The 18,402-nt window shown below is 32.8% G+C and overlaps 1 protein-coding gene across 10 annotated transcripts in view; it reads right to left on the minus strand.

Moving 5' to 3' along the window:
- The window catches only part of EPHA7 (EPH receptor A7), a 179,540-nt gene that overhangs the window by 80,309 nt on the left and 80,829 nt on the right, over positions 1-18,402 (minus strand). The gene's annotated exons all lie outside the window — the stretch shown is intronic.

Raw genomic sequence — 18,402 nt, forward strand, 5'->3', positions numbered from 1 at the left:
TATAAGTACATTTCGAATAAAGATTCAGTATATTAGTTTTTCATTCCAAAACAGAACTCTTTAAAATTAACATTACATTACAATGATAGGCAAAGTGATTAGAGACCAAATATGCTTTGCTATTTTAAAAGAATACAATCATTAGCAGAAAATGATTTGTAGTGCAATTTTACTTCACTTGGGAGAAAAACAATTCCCTTTCATATTTACTAAATTTACTTAAGAATGTAGCTAGAAAAAACAAGTTCTGTAGAAGTATAATGCTTAGTATTCTCTTTCATGGTTTTAAAAGATGCTATTAGACACAGGTCAGAGGTGCAATTAAAGCTAAGGGAAGTATATTTCATAATAAAGAAATTTATTGCAATTTTGATAACATGAAATTTCATAAGCATTCATGGGAAAATATAATTTGGAAAATTATATTTAAAGCTTACACAGCTTTGCTAGTATTTAATGCTTTAGAGACAAGATGGCCCAACACAATTAGCCAAGTCCTGAGGCAGCATTAAAATGCTGAAATATGGGATTGTAGGAGCTTACCAAGTCAGAAATTTTCAAAAATAATTTTGATTCATTGAAATATAATTTCACTTATAAAATGTTATATAGTTAGCAAGATAGTTTGTGTATATTTTGTATCATGTAATAATTGCTAAATAAAATAGCAGTAAATTCAATCTACTTATCACGTGTTATGAGGAGGGCTTATAAAAAGATCTACAATATACAATTCATACCCTTGAGAAAATATATGAATTAGTATTTATATATGTCTCTTTTAAATCAGTACATCTCAATATGTGGCATATGCATTAAAATCATTAGAATTACCTGCATACTTATAAAAATGTATATAACTGGTCTCCACCAAGTTTGTCTACAGAATCAAAACTTCCTGAGTGTGGTTCTCAGTATTTGCATTGTAACAAGCACCTAATATCAACTTTGAGAAGATATTTTGAGAATAGAAGAATCAAACAGTAGGCAACAGTAATATATTATTTGTTGATTATGTATATATCAATCACAATAGGTGAGTCATTGATCCCAGGAGCATTCCCCAATAAAATTCCTGCATATGTATCTCTGTCTCAGAGTCTGTTTATCCTTGGAACTCAATCTCCAATGTCTGGATATGACTGAGCTCACTAATTAGTGCTCTTCTTATTTCTTCTCTCTATATTTGTTTTGTTAGACACAATTAAGGTGGTGTTTGTTTATTAAGTTTAATTACAAGACAAAAATTATAATATCTGAAATTTCACTGACAAATTTAGATTTCTGACTAGACTTCTGGAATTGACATTTCTGACCCCACTGGGCACTTACGCATCTTCAGCAAGAACAGGGAAGTGATTACTCCTTATAAAGGAGATATTCCCTCTCCAGGTCCCTGTGGTCCACACAACTCCACACTGCATCAACATTCATTGATCAGTTTTACAGGAATTTGTTAAACTAACTGGTCAGTTACTCAGGTAAATGTCCAAACTATCTCTTTTTGAGATTAATGTTGGCTTTTAGAAATGTTAGAAAATTAGAAAAAGCCATAAGGCATTTTGATTAAGAGCACAATTTGGGGTTTGATTACTGCCACTGTACGACCTTGGGTTATTCAAACTCTTTATACATTAATTTCTTCATATTTATAATGAGGACATTAATACTACTTACGTTATAGAGCACTGTGAAGATTCATTGAATTAATGAATGAATAATGAATGTAAAAAACAATACAAGGCTCAATATGTCATAAGCTAAGCACACAGGCTTTCACACTGTACAGATGCATACACGCACATATTTTATAAACACGCAAACATGTATGTATACACATATATACAGATGCATAAAATTTACACTGTATGTAATTTTAAAATTATATATCTGTAAAGTATACTATATAATTTACACTGTAGGAAAGTGAGATAAAAGAAGTAAAGTTTAAGATGGAATTTGAAGAAAAAATATAGCATTAATTACTATTCTTTTTAAAATTTAGGAAGAAATATTCCAACAAAAACTTAGAGGGAAATTTTGTATCGCTTAAAATCTACTGCAAGCAATTCCTTTTTTTGTCTTGTTTTATAAAATATAAAGCCCCCCAGGAAGGCCAAAAGATTTATTATTTCATAGAGGGGTGCTTTTCTGATAAATATACTGGAGTTTTGCAGAGGCATACTCTTCATTAATTAATTTCTAAGTCTGGATTTACTAAATCATGCTCCTAAGGAACATGCTCTTCCCAGCTTTAGTTTTTGGTAAGGGAATATTTTAAAGCAGTGCACGTAGCTCAGGTTATATCAATGACTGAATTAGAGAGGCATACTAGTGACTATTTAACTCTGATTATACCTTCAAAATTAGGACCCATTTTCATGAACTCATTGTATCAAATAGGGATTAAATATTCTCTTTGGATTTAGTGATTCAAATAAATCCCTGAGGGAAGCCTTCCAAAAGTCACCTACAGATACTTTTACTCACTATGGTAAGCAGTTTTACAGATTCAGGGAGCATACTGTCCCCCATCTGTGCTTTACGTGTGTGTGTGTTTTACTAGCACTATGAATGAATATGTCAATTATCACTTTTTGAGGGTCACATAGAATAGCAGTTAATCAAGTTGGGCATTTTCAGTGGACTTAATTTAAAAGTTTGAATGAAGATTTTATTAATATGGTATTCAAAGGGGAAACAAAAAAAAGATGTGAAAACTTTTTGGTTTTGCTCAATTGCTTTCAATTAAAATAAACAACTTCAAATGCATAACATAGAATTTTTTGATTATACATATTTAAGCATTTTAACAAAATAATTTATTTCTACATATTCGTCTCTTTATGAAAGAAACAAATAAGCAGACTGTATTAATCAATTAAATGTAAAGGCTCTAAAATTTAGGAGTAAACACATGATTCCTTGCTAAGCTGGCCTTTTATCCACCTCAGTGGGGACTTAAATACTGGAATCCAATGGGGTAAAACGTTTTCGAGTGCATTTAGGACTCTTGTCATTCTTCCACGAATTCTTTCCTTCTTTCTCTTAATATTCTACTCGATTACCATCCACCACTTCTTACAGTTTAGCTCAAGAAACCAAAATAATGATACCAAATATACAGAATATAAAGTTCTGGGAAATGTGCATGTTTATTGTACACGTACAAATATATACTATTCATTAGGTACTAAGTTTTAACACACAAAGTAGCATGTTTTTCCTGGCCTACTAGAATCAAGATTTTGGAAAGGCAGATGTTTGACAATTTTATTTACATTTTCTCAGATTTTATTTTTAAAATTAAAAATTCCATCTGGATTAAAATGTATTTCTACAAGGTTAGGAAATCAAAAATGAAAGGACTCTACCCTTAACTGATCATACTGGCTTTCATACAGTGCTGCTCTTTAGCATCTTTCAGTTTGATATCATTTTTGGATGTAGCTAAATGCCAGATACCCTGACAAACATATATTCTACCAGCTGGATCTCCATCTGCTCAACTAAACATTTTCACACCAAATCTGTATAAAAAGCTATGTTTTCAAAGAGAGTTATCTACAACTGAAATATTAAAATCTTAACTCCAGGAGACCCTCCATTACATATTTCACATGTATTAAATCATGAATACAAAACTACCTCCAAGTATTATCAGTGGTCTGCTTTCCGTTGCCAGAAGTTATCTTAAACCATCCATGAAGGGGCAGACAGACTCTTTTGAGCACAACAAATATTTTTGAGATTTTTCACCTAAGGCAGAAGTATTGCTACTGTCTTTTGATGTGTTTCCTTACAAAAATACTGCAAAATTACTGTTAATGGATAGACTGATTTTTTAAAAATCTGCATTAAGTTAGTCCTGGGATAACTTCCTTTACCAACATATGAGTATATTAACTAACATAAAATATGCCTCTAATTAAATCCTCATAATATTCATCAGAATCTTTTTAATTGAGCTCTGATTATACAAGAGTGGCAAAGAAAATCTCAGGTAATTTAAAAAAGTTTCTATCTGAAAATAAAATTGATCCTCATAAACATCAGTGCCACTAGATTTTCTAGCTTGGGGAAGTCATCTATAAACCGTTATTAGATTTTTGTAAACCCAAGGGCAGATGAAAGGCATGAAATACAATAATCTAGCAGGATTGGCCTTGAGGCAAAAATGGGATCACAGAACTCATACAACATGTAAGTGCACAATAAGTTAAATCTGGAAGAAGGAAACTAGACCCTCTCAACATATGTATCCTACCTCTTAAATAATATCAGTTGCCACACTCTAAAAAAATATGCGTGTAAGTGTGCTACAGCAAGTAGGGGAATTCCATTCTTTGAGACTGCAGAAACATGATCAAGAAAAGAGGGAATCAAGGGTGCCTTCAACACGTATACAGAGAAAGACAAATATTCACTATTTATCACCAAGGCAAACAAACATAAAAGCATTGAGAACTTCATAATTTTTTACAAATCAAGGCCTTGGCCAGGAAGCTGAGTAAAATGTTTCTGTGTATTCATAGTAAGAATAGAAGCAAAAGAGGTTCATATTGTAGAGGGCAGAAGGGATATGTGCAAGCCTTTTATTGATAGATTTTTCACTCACTATTTTATTTTGTACTTATTAATAACAATCCTGAAAAAAGGCATTTTTTTTCCAGTGAACCTACCTTTTCTAAAACTGGGGTTATGTAGTATAAAAAATGAGAGTGTATGGGAGGAGAATGAGAGAGAGTGGGTGTACAGACAGAGACTGAGTGAAGATTCTACCAGCTGAAGAAATATTTAGAATTGCCAGGAATAATATATGCATATAGGGAAACACTTGTTACAAAATAAGCTATAGCTCAATTTTAACCCTAAATTCAAAGGACACAATCAATGGAATTCAGAAACAATTGGTCCTAAGTGTTTTCTATATTATAGAAACTTCAGCATTATCTCACTTATTCTTTTTTAATAAATAAAATTATTTAAGTGAGGAGTTCATCACCAAGTCCTTCTAAAAAGATATATGCCTCTTTATCAAAACAAAAGCCAGGCTTATTTAGCTACATAATATAGGCCAAACCAGTGATGCGCAAGTGACTTAAAATAAATATCTTCTATGATCAATTGTCTAAAATTTTCTGTAATTGTAAGCTTTGTTTAAAATAGTAAAATTTAATATCTATCATCCAACTATACTCCACTCCTTCCCACCTTCTACATTTTCTAATCTTACCAAAATATATCTACCTAGAGAATCAAGGTAAAAATAATAGATAAGATAAATGAAGGAAATTTTAAAAATTCCAACAAAATGAACCACCACTTTTCTTGGTATTGAAAACAGGTGTACATTTAACCAAGGTTAACTGCAGTGCAGTAAAAAACTGTTACGAATCTACTGGTATACTTAATATTTTATATTTACTAGACACACTTTGAAGTTTCTAAATATATCTAAGTGGCTAAAAAGAAGGACTTCATATCTTGAAAATTTCAATAAAGAAAACTTGCTTAATTCAAACATTTGCCAAGAAAAATGGTTATCATCAAACACAGGATATTAAATAATTATCTGTTTGCTCTGCTGGCTCAAGATAGATGTAGTGCTGATGCCCACACTTGCTGAGAAAAAAATGACACAACATCCTCTCTTCGCCATCAATGAGATCTAACAAAGAGTCAAGAATAATAATTCTAGATTTATAAACTGCCTGCTGTGTTCACCAAACATTAGTTACATAGCAGATAATTCTATTCATAGTCTAATATTCATGTAATGAAAATCTCATAAGAACGCTAAAGAATTATGCCGTGGTAATAGTGGGAAGTAAAAAGGAAAGAGATTAAAATCTGTCTCTCCCTATAGTCTAAGTTCCATGAGAGGCTATGTTCATGTCACCACTGAATATCCAGCCCTCAGCAAATTACCTGGCATACAGTAAGCACTCAATAAGTATTCAACAAACAAGTAAAATCACAACCCTAATTTCAATAAAACACTGCACAACATTCAGTGTCATCTTAAACATATTAAAGAGTGATTTTAAATGAATGCTCTATTTATATAAAATATACGAAGATAGTTTCTTGTGTTAACTGTTAAATATCTAATGAATGGCATAACTAGAACTTACTTAGGAGAAAGGCTGACTAGAAAGTGACCTAAAATTATCTCTATGTGAAGATTTCCAGTTTCACTGAAAATTATAAGTAGAAGCAAGTTTTAAAACTAAGAAATTATTTGTTCACTGAAACTGAAAGGTAAGGTCTCTCCTCTTCATTGTTTTTAGCAAGTGAGTTTCCTGCTAATACAGGAATAGATCCTGGGATCCCATCATAGCATATGACGTGTTTGGACTAAAATCTTTCAGAGAATCTATTCTGTGAACAGAGGAATCTTGTCTATTTCATACTAACACACATCCAGCGGTGAGCAGAATGACTCATGACAGGTGCTTAATATTTATTAAGCACATCAATGAATGGGCAGAAACAACAGAAAGACATATTGTAACTGAATATAAGAAAGAACTTTCTAAGATATAAAGCTGCAAATTTTTATTGTTGTATCTTCTTAGTTTTCTCCAACTTAGCCAAACCCATTCTTTCAACTGGTATCCATCTTACATGATTGTGAGTTACCTCATATTTCCCATCACTTTAAAATACATTTGTATGACGGTTAATCTGTGCTATCTAGAATTGGGCACAATATTCCCAGTTGGAAGTGGCATGTGCCGAGCAGAGCTGAGTATCAGCCACCTTTACTCTATAAATCAGTGCAGTCTAAGACACATGAGATGTTCTGATGGCCACTAGACTCATACTGAATTGATTATATCCAAAGTTCAGTTCTCACTCCTCACCTTGCAGAGCTATCAACATTTGGGACAGATCATTGCCTCCTCCTTGAAATAACTTTCTTTGCTTTCTGAGCATCAAATTGAATTTTTCTATTATCTCAATGGCCATTCATTCTCTGTCACTTTTCCTGATTGTTCTTCATCATCCAGTGCCCTGGCACTCACACCTCAACCCTGGTTTTTATTCTATTTATACTCACTTCCTTTTATCTCATTTAGTTCATGACTTTAAATTCCATGTCGATGCTGAAAACTCCAGATTTACATAATTAACCCCAATATCACACATAAACTAGAGGCAACTGTAGCATCTTAAACATAGCATGACAGAAACTGAGTTCCTAAACTTCTTCAAACCTGTCTCTCCCACAAATTTTTCTGTCTAGAGTTACTAGTTATTTCATCTTTTCAAAAGTTGCATAGGTTTAAAATACTCAAGGCTTCCCTTGGCCACTGTCTTTCTGTCATATTCCACATTCAGTGTGCTCATCTTGTTGACTCTGTATTCAAAATGGATTCAGAATTCACTACTCCCTACCATTCCATTGCTACCACCCTAGTGAAAGCCACCTTCTAGATTATTGCAATAGCCTCCTAAACTAATCTCTTGCTCCTGAGAACCCCTCTTAGCTATTCTTAACACAGCAGCGAGATTGTTAATGAGATGGTTATGAAAGTATATTCATGTCATTCTTCCGTTTAAATCCCTCCAATGGCTTTCAGTCTTCATCTAAAGCCAGTGGTTATAATGACTTGCAAGGTCTAACACAGTGTGTCCTTGCAACTCTGTTAACACCCAACTTCCATTTATTCTACTCTCCTCCTTTCTCTCTTCACACCAGATACACTTATCTCCCCCACTGAACATGCTAAACATGCTCTTTCCTTGGGACCTGCACAGGCTGTTCTCTCTGTCCAGAACACTCTTCTTCCGTTTGGCTTTGCTTTCATATCTCACTCAGGCCTTTATTCAAACGTCATTCCAATAAAGCCTTTCCTGGAAATTTTTAAAAACTGTAATCCCTTGACACTCCATTCATGGCTTTCCTATGTATTTTGTTTGAACAACATCATCTAATTTTTTATATTTTACACATTTAGTATATTTCTGTCTGTTCTACTTGCACTCCACTTCTACTAGAAACTTTTTAAAGACAGAGATTTCTTTTTTTGTCTATAGCTTTTCCCAGCATCTAGAGTAATGTATGAAACATGTGAAATGCTGAATAAATATCTTTGAATGATACAACAATATATGAGAGTTTTAAGGGAAAACATTTCACTGGTGACTTTTCAAGTATTAGCCAGCTGGGAAATGTTTTGGCATGATGGAATCCACACTTTTCTAAAGTGCATCATAAGTCATACTTTAATCATCTTTCCTCACCCAAAATAGAGGTAATCTGGTCTTTCTTACCTGACTTTATTATCTTGGATACCAAGATTTCTCCTAGGACATTGGTTCCTGAGTCATGGCAATTTTAATGCATCAAAGGGGCACTATTCAATCTGGGTAATAATATATTCTCATTAGCGAATTCTCATAGAAGCCCTACATAATCAATGTGCTCCCTCTAAGCACATATCTTAAATAATAGGGAGAAAGAGGAATAGAAAATGGCATGGTCTCCTTAAAAGACTACATGGGCAAAATAATACTTTGATTATACAATAAAATAGACCAAATATGAAAAGTACTATTTTCTAATTTAAAGATAACATTATTAAGGAGGGAAGAGAAAAACAGCAAGTCAAGGTCACATTTTGCAGAATGAATTAACCAAAACTGCATTATAAAAATCCATATTCATCTGTTAATATTAAAAATAACTTTAACAATAACATATACACACAAATAACTAACTCTTCAGGGAACTAAAGTGAATAAAGTGATGTAGGGTATTTTTTTCATTACCAATAACTTTTAACTTTTGTTTCCTTTAAGAATTTTATATTTTAGTGTCAGACTGAATGAAAATCCTCTTTCTTCAGATCTGCATTGTAATAATATAAGTAATACACACCAAAGATAAATAACTGCAGAGTATGACCTACAAGTTCTGAATGAGACACTGGCCACTAAACATTTATCATACTTTTAAAATCAGAAGTAACTGAAATGTTTAATTGCTAATCGTTATTTATTTCAAACAGAAAGTTTAAAAGCTTTTGTTAATTAGTATATAAGCCAGATTATAAGCAATATTAATGTAAATATGAAAATACAATTATCATTTTTAGACATGCTAACTAGCAACAGCATATGGGCCAAGAACTGTTCCAAGAATTTTACTTCACACCTAATAAAGAACATGAGTGCTATGCCATGAACTGTGTATGAATCCTGACATCTTTGATTTTTCAAATACTTTTCCAACACAGCTATTCTTTGTATACTTTTTTTAAAAAAGGAGACATTGCTTAAAGAATACATTGTATCCATTATAGAGTATGACTGACTAAATAAACTTAGTAACTTCATTGATTTTCTCAAATAATCTTATTGTCTCAAATATTTTAAATTATATTTTGTATAAATACTTTTGTTATACATATGTTCTACTTTATACAAGGAGACTGCGGCAGAACTGGAAAGTGAAAACAAGACTCTTGCTTCACAGCCCATCTTCTTTCCATTACACTCATCAGCTGAAGTGAAATTAAAAAAAACAAAAACAACAAAGACTCATTCTTGGAGCAGAAGATACTGAACAAGAATACTAATTAATTATTAGCAATGTAAACTCTCACCTAAAGTATAAGCAGGTTTATCTTTTTACACTAGTTAGAAGAAAAACTATATTTTGGAGGAATTGAGAAAAATGCCACAGTCAGTGGAATGAGAGAAGGAGATAACTAAAGAATTTGAAATAATTCTTGTTATACAATGTCAAACATAGCAATTAAATTGTTTTCAAACAGTACACAAAATGGTAATCATAGGATGAAAGTGACTCTTTTTAATTGACACATAATAATTTTACATGTTTATGAGGTACACAGTGATATTTTGATATAAGTATAGAATGTGTAATGATGAAATTAGATTGATTAGCATATCCATTACCTCAAACATTTGTTAATATCATTTCCTTGTGCTGGGAACATTCAGAATCCTCTCTTCTAGCTATTTGAAAATATAAAATAAATTATTGTTAACTATATCACACTACAGTGTTATAGAACACCATAGCTTATTTCTCTTATATAGCTATAAGTTTGTGTATGTGAACCAACCTCTATCTTCCTCTCTCCCCTAACCTTCTCAGTAACCACTATTTTACTATCTGCTTCTATTAAAGATTTTAGCCCTTACATATAAGTGAGAACATGTAGTAGTATTTGTATTTCTGTACCTCACTTATTTCACTTAACATAATGTCCTCCAGGCTCAACAACATTGCTACAAATAACCAGATTTCTTTCTTTTTTATGGCTGAATAGTATACCATTATGTAGATATATACCACATTTAAAAAATCTATTGACCTGTTGATCGATACTTAGGTTGATTTCATATCTTCGCTATTGTGAATAGTGCTACAGTAAACATAGGGGTGCAGATAGCTCTTCAATATGCTGATTTCCTTTCTGAAAGTTATTTATCCAAGCCAATCAACAGCATTTTCTCCAAGGGCAAAATATTTACTTTTCTCTTTTTTATGTTACCTTGGGTATCAGCTGAGAAGGCATTTCAAAAGGTGTAAAGCATTTATTAACTCCTTACTCTATAACTGATCTTAGGACTTTGCTGTATGGAGAACATGCACACCTACCCACAATATTGAACATTTCTTAACTGGCTTTTCATTAGATGATCGGTCTGTTTAGGTTCACAGTCAAGAGTGGGCATATATGTCAAACATTTTGATAAACTAATGGCTATTTGGAGAAAAGTATTGCAGATGCCAAATTGTAAAATTAGCAACATGGAAATGCAGTAAATCTGTAAAAGTTTAGTTATAACTTTGGCAACAAAAGTATAAGTTACAATATTAAAAATGAAGGATATCACTGTATTTTAAGAAAAGAAGTAAACAGAGATGGCCTAAACAAGTCTCCCTAGTTTTATATTCCACATATATAGTCACACCACTATAATAAAATCGTGTTTTTTAAGATCTTCAATAATATCTTTCTTGCTAAACACAAAGGTCTTTTCTCAGTTTTCTTTACCTTTAATCCCTTTCCAAATTCTGCAACTCCTGAATACATGCCTTCCTGAAATATGCAGATTATATATTTAGCAGAAAAATACAAAAAAAAAAATTCAGAGCTTTTAAAAACCAAACCTAGACATGAGTCTTACTTTTTGATTTATAACTTATTTAGAAACAGAGATTCTGTCTAGAATGCATACTAAATTTATTTCATGTACACACATAAACATTTTTTCAAAGAAATGATCATGGAGAGTTAAGGAAATCATCTGAATACCTAAGGACAAATTATTACTTTACATGAAATATACAAACAATTGAGGCAATGTTGCTTTCTCATCCAATAACTTCCCCATGTAATTTGTATGTGTGTGGCAAATAGCAATTCAACCATATTATACCTTGTTTAGTTTATCAATTAATTATTTCTTCAAAGATACGTACTTTCTATTTTTCAGCTACTATTGTAAACCACTATGTCATTTTATCTTTTCATAGCATCCACAAGCAAAGGCTGAATTAATAGGCTTTCATTATATAACTCTGCTTTAAGGCAAATGTAGACAACATGCCACATTGCCTCACACAGTTCAGTTCAATAGAAATAATATATTAATCTATTTTCTCAGAAAAATACATACTATACAACTGCTACACACCTGACATTGTTAGGTGCTTGACTTTTTTGTTGTTCACTGATATCACGGGAAACAGGTACTTGACTTTTGATAAGACTTTTAGTAATAGCACTTGTTTAAAAATATTCTCACAGAATTGGTTTCAAAGTGTATTTACAGTGAAGCTCAATTGCTTGTCAGCATCATGGCTAAGATTAAGTGTAGTACAGTGGAGCTCAGTGGACCCGGTGGAAGGTGACAAGGAGAACTGAATAAAGCAAGCAAAAAATAAACAAAAAAACTTGAGAAAAGCAATAATTTGATAAAAATGTTAATAAAATAAAATAAGTACAATAATGGTAACTATAACTCTTTTCACCCCAACTCAGGCAAATTATATTTCTAGTAAGTACTATAAATAATGAACAGTTATCTACAGAACATGAGCTTTGTATACTTGTAATCTTTTATCTGATACATACTTATATTACAAATTCCATCTCTCTCTTTGCTAAGTGGCTTATATATTTTTATATGCAATTTATAGGAACTCAATTATAATGTTAAATTTAATTTTTGTGCTATATGGTAATATATATGTGCATGACAAAAGTAAACAAGTTTATAAAAACATTGTTTATTGTGCACATTGGATTAATACATCTCAAATTCTGAAGACAAAAGCAAGAGCTATTTCAGAAAATGCCTTAAAATTTCAATACAATTAAGTAAAAAATATGATTTAGAGTATTTTTGAATTTCAAATAAACTGATATGATCAACATCGTGATATGGCAGATTTAAAGCAATTAACTTGTGCAGAGTATTAATTTAAACATAAGAAATGCTGGCTCAAATTCATCAAAATAATAGAAACTAATTTCATATTTATTTTTATGTTAAATTTATATCGTTTTAAACTTTTATTTTAGATTCAGGGGTACATATGCAGGTGTCTTATTGGTACATTTTGGGTCATGGTTGTTTGGTGTACAGATTATTTCATTACCCAGGTAATAAGCATAGTATCTGACAGGTATTTTTTCTGATCCTCTCCCTCCTCCAAAACTCCACCCTCAAGTAGCCCTGATATCTGTCATTCCCTTCTTTGTGTCTCTCTGTACTCAGTGTTCAGCTTCCACTTGTAAGTGAGAACATGTACCATTTGGTTTTCTTTTCCTGCATTAATTTGTTTAGGATTATGGCCTCCAGCTCCATCCATGATGCTTCAAAGAACATGATCTCATTCTTTTTTAAGGCTATGTAGTATTCCATGGCATTTATGCACCACATTTTCTCCATGCAGTCTCTAACACTGATAGTCATTTAGGTTGATTCCATGACTTTGCTACTGTAAATTGTGCTGTGACGAACATACGCATGCATGTCTCTTTATGGCAGAATAATTTATATTCCTTTCATTATATATCCCATAATGGAATTGTTGGATCAAATGATAGTTCTGTTTTAAGTTCTTTGTGAAATCACCACACTGCTTTCCACAATGGCTGAACTAATTTACATTCCCACCAGCAGTGTATAAGTTTTTCTCCAAAACCTCACCAGCATCTGTTATTTTTTGAGTTTTTAATGATATCATCCTGACTGTTGGGAGATCTCATTGCAATTCTGATTTGCATTTCTTTAATGATTAGTGATGTTGAGCATTTTTTTATGTATTTGCTGGCCACCTGTATGTTCTCTTCAAAGCATCTCTTCATGTCCTTTGCCCACTTTGTAATAGGATTGTTTAATACTGCAAACTAGACAGGTGAAAGATCTGTACAATGAGAATTACTAAACACTGCTGAAAGAAATGAGAGATAGCACAAGCAAATAGAAAAACATTCCATGCTAAATGATAGGAAAAAATCAATATTGTTAAAATGGCCATTTGCTCAAAGCAACTTACAGATTCAGTGTTATTCCTATCAAAATACCGATGAAATTGTTCACATAATTAGATAATACCATTTCAAAATTCATATGAACCAAAAAAGAGCTGACTTACTCAGGACAATTCTAGGCATCATGTTACCAGACTTCAAACTATATTACAATGCTATGGTAACCAAAGCAGCATGGTATTGGTACAAAACTAGACAGAATAGAGAGCCCAGAAATAAAGCTGCACACCTATAGTCATCTGATCCTTGACAAAGTCAACAAAAACAAACAGTGGGGAATGAACTATTTATTCAATAAATGGTGCTCGAATAACTGATTAGCAGAGGACTGAAGCTGGACCCCCTCCTTACACCGTATACGGAAATAAACTCAATATGGATTAAAGACTTAAATGTAAAACCTAAAACTATAAAACACTGGAAGATAACCTAAGAAATACCATTCCAGACATAGGCCCTGGCAAAGATTTCATGATGAAGATGCCAAAAGCAACTGCAACAAAAAAATTGACAAATGGGAGGTAATTAAAGAGCCTGTGCACAGCAAAAGAAACTATCAAGAGAGTAAACAGACAACCTACAGAATGGGAGTAAATATTTGCAAATTTGGCATCCAACAAAAATCTAATAGCCAGAATCTATTAGGAACTTAAACTAATTTTATATTTCTAAAGATAATTCTCTAACCAGCATATATAATACCTACAATCTAAAACACTTTCCAACTACTAGAGAACAAACTTAATATATAATGTAGAAAAAAATATCTCCAAAGAAGCACATTAAGGTGTTAGCATTTCTGCTACTGTGCATAGAAAACTGTATCCCTGTGGCTTTTCCATGCATTATAACTAGGCTATTCTGACTCAAATCCACAAATATCAAGGTTAAACGAGTGATGCAAATCCATTTCATTCTCTGATAACCATGAACATATTTGCATGTTTCACCTTTAAACTTAATCCAAAACTAGTAAAGATTGCGATGTGTAGCTCATATTTTAAAATTTTCCAGTATTAGTATGCATCACTTTTATTAGAATTGATTTTTTTTCCCCAGAAATAGGACAACACAAGTGTGAAAATCAAGGACAGGAAGAAATAAATAACCTAGAAGGCAACAAGACAGGCCACAGACCCATATAACCTCAGGTGTTGTCTCACCCAGCAACTGTATGGGCTTTATCACCTTCGGCAATTTGTTTAACTTCTCTCAGCATTTGGAGTAATAACATATTCCTCACAAAACTATCGCAAGTTTGATTCCTAGAGGGTCAATTAAGTGTTAACAGACCAGAATGTATCCTTCAATGTATTTTACGTCAATCTAGTCTTACTTTTTTCTGCTTCCAAAAATGGGAGATATTCAAGAAATATTATAAAAATTATTCTACTTCTGTTTTTAGTTTTAGAACAAAATGAGATTTTTCATCTAATGTAAAACATAATCATCAACATATGTGATACACTATCCGTGTAGGGTTGTAATGTAAGTGTTTTGCCCTGACCAAACCTGGCACAGTAATTATATTTCAAATTTTACAGTTTCATTGGTATTTATATTATAATTCCAAAGGATTTGTTAAAGTTCTCAGTATCATTAAGGACATAAGGAAATACTTTTTAAAAAGTGAAATAATTATATTTTTAAAAAGCACCTGTGTTTTAGAAGGGAGACCACCAGCAAAGATGTAGAATAGTAGTGGGAAAATAGGAGCAAAAAGGAATAACCTGTTAGACCCATAACTTAACCAGTAATAATCATCCACAGTTTTCATTTTTTTTTTAAATTTTTAATCCCATTCCTATCTATCTATAACAATTAAAATACAGACATGGAAACTACACTCTTTGAATCCTTATTAGCTTCTTATTGTGGTATGAGTAACAATAAATTACATTATTTTTCTTTGTATTTTGTGAAAATTTAAATAGACAAATGGAAAATTTTCTATTTAGAAAGAGATCATTAAAATTCAAATCACACATAGTGAAATTATCTAATTCATTTCTTGATATAATCCAGAAATGGCTGGATAGAGATCTGAACATGTATCCAGTATATGAGAGACATATAATGAATCTTTCTTGCTATAACCTACAAGAGAGGCACAAGTACTATCCTTGGTACCCAAAACATATTGGATAATGTTTCATTATAATTGATGTACCTTTAAAAGCCTTTTTAAAGTAGTGTTTAAAAAATAGTTCATGTAGTACATTGAGCACTAAAACTTTCAAGCCTACTGCTACCCTACTACTAGAATAAAAGTATTTTAATACAAGAAAGAAAAATAATATATAATCATCACATAACTTATATTTTAAGGTTGCCCAATAAAATATTTCTCACAACCTCTTCAATGAGTTTAGCATCAGAAAACGAGGCAAATGCAAGGTATACATGAAAGTTTCAGATTCTCTTCATATCTCATATGTTACAAATTGCTTGGATTTCATGTGTATCTCACTTTGAAAGTGTAGTGGGCAGTCAAATGTACAACTGTTCAAAGCCTTTTACACTTTGTTGTTGTTGTTGTTTTGAGATGAAGTCTCATTATGTTGCCCAGGCTGGAGTGCAGTGGCACGATCTTGGCTCACTGTAACCACTGCCTCCTGGGTTCAAGTGATTCTCCTGCCTCAGCCTCCCGAGTAGCTGGGACTACAGGCACGTGCCACCACGCCTAGCTATTTTTTTTATTTTTAGTAGAGACGGGGTTTCACTGTGTTAGCCAGGATGGTCTTGATCTCCTGACCTTGTGATCTGCCCGCCTTGGCCTCCCAAAGTGCTGGGATTACAGTCATGAGCCACCCTGCCCAGCTCCTTTTACCCTTTTAAGAACAGAAGTGAATAGTTCATCCCCAATACCAGTTCCAATAGCAGCCACTGCTCAAGTAACCAAGAGTAACCTCTTGCTTTGAATGGCATCCTTCTTCCAACTTAACAATTTTACCATAAATTTGAAGGATCAGTGGAGTAATATAAATTGGATAGTTTACAAAGTATTATTTTTGTAAAAAAAAAAAGGAAAAACAAAGAAGCTTTTATCAGCCAACCTATTCCTTTTGTTTGCCCTCTATAGGGGTGGCAGTTTGAAGTAGTTAGAAAAAAGACATAAAAAGGAAGTATCAATGACTAATTAAAAGTGGCTGCTGGTTTTGTTTTACTGTGTTTGGCTGAATGCACAGTCAGTACAGTGAGAATCTTCACAGAAAATACCTTAAACAACAGAAGAGAATATTGCTGCTGTGTTTTCAAATCCGCAATTCAAAGTTCCACTTTTCTCCCATGGGAGACTGACCCAGAACACTGAAGAAAGATCCACAAGGATAAGGTTGCTCAATAATGTCAAAGATTACCAGTGATCAAAAGCAAGGTTCCAGTGACTGCACACCATTTCCAAAAGGTCAGAATCACAAGTTCTTTTAGTAAGTGAATGTCTTTACACACTGATTGCACAAGGCTGCAACAAAAGTCTATTTTTATTCTCTGGAATATAGATTAGAAATGAGACCTAATTTTCTGTGGATAGTTTTTTGACCAATTCTACCCTTAGAAAAAAAGTACTTGTATAAACATAAAATCAGTTTGGGCATTGTGCTGTATTTTGTTTACAAGAATGTATAAGTGTCAAAGGAAAGAAAATCTATTTTCAAAGGGCCTCAAACAACTACTTTAAAAGAAACTCACTCAGATTTGTTGAAACATATTCAGTAGATAATTGAGAGATTTCTCTCATAGAGAGCTGGCAGGAAAAGAAAATATTTCAATATTTTTCTATGTCAAACAGTAGAGTATCACAGACAAGCCTGTTGTTCTCACCACTGATCTCAAACCTGGAGCTCTCAAGTTAGATATACCTCAGAAAGAGAAGTAAGTATCACAGGATGGAAAAAGCAGCAGCATCCTGGAAGCAAATAAATGAATTCTCAGGAACAGCTTGCTCTTTGTTCACCGTTTATATGACTCTTGTGACACTGGAATAATGATTTCATATTGTAGCATGCTTTTTCCTCTGTACATAGTTCCTTACCACCAAAACAAACAGGAAGGAAGAAATGGAGTGAGGATGGAGGGAGGTGAGGAAAAGAGGGAAGGAGACAAAGAAAAGGAGGGAGGGAAGAAGAAGCATTGGGAGGGAGAGAACAAAAGGGAGATAACTCATCAAACAGTACAAAAGTCTTGAACAGAAAGCCTAAGAATATCATCATGTTGCCCCCAAATCCCCACCAACAGCCTCTGGGAGTAGAAATGTAAAAGAAAAAACAATTTTCTGCGGTTAAGGAAAGTCTGGGACTGCTGTCATTCATATGCAATTCCATCCAAATTCAGAGTGCTTGAGGAAATCACATGCTTCTCTCTTCTCTCTCTTTTCTTGTGTTTTACATTCTTCAGCTTCCTAATTCTTGCTTTTTACATTTAATAGTTTGAAATAGTCTAAGCAGGGTGTATGTGTTAGTGTGTATGGATTCAATAGCTTAAAACCAATCAAATATATTAAATAAGAGAGTGACTTTCAGGTACCTTGGAAGCTCCTACAAAGTTACAGAGGGATATTCTGCTTGTGATTCCTATGTCACCTCTGAACCATTGAAATTCAACTCTCTTTCCAAATCGGTATTCCAATAAATCATGTTTCTTTTTTGCCCAGTTTGGCTATAAATAGGCTTAAATTTCAAAAATAGATGTTCACAAATGTTTAAAATTTCCTCAAAGTTCTCAATTATACCTGAATATTAAATAATAATCGAAACAATAAAATGGTTATTTTTCATTCTTTTATTTGTTTAATGGAGGTGAGATACAGAATATATCTTAAAAACTTAAAACAGCTACAGAGAGTTGATCTTTA

Source organism: Homo sapiens, chromosome 6 (genome assembly GCF_000001405.40).
Source record: "Homo sapiens chromosome 6, GRCh38.p14 Primary Assembly".
Taxonomy (NCBI): Eukaryota; Metazoa; Chordata; class Mammalia; order Primates; family Hominidae; genus Homo; species Homo sapiens.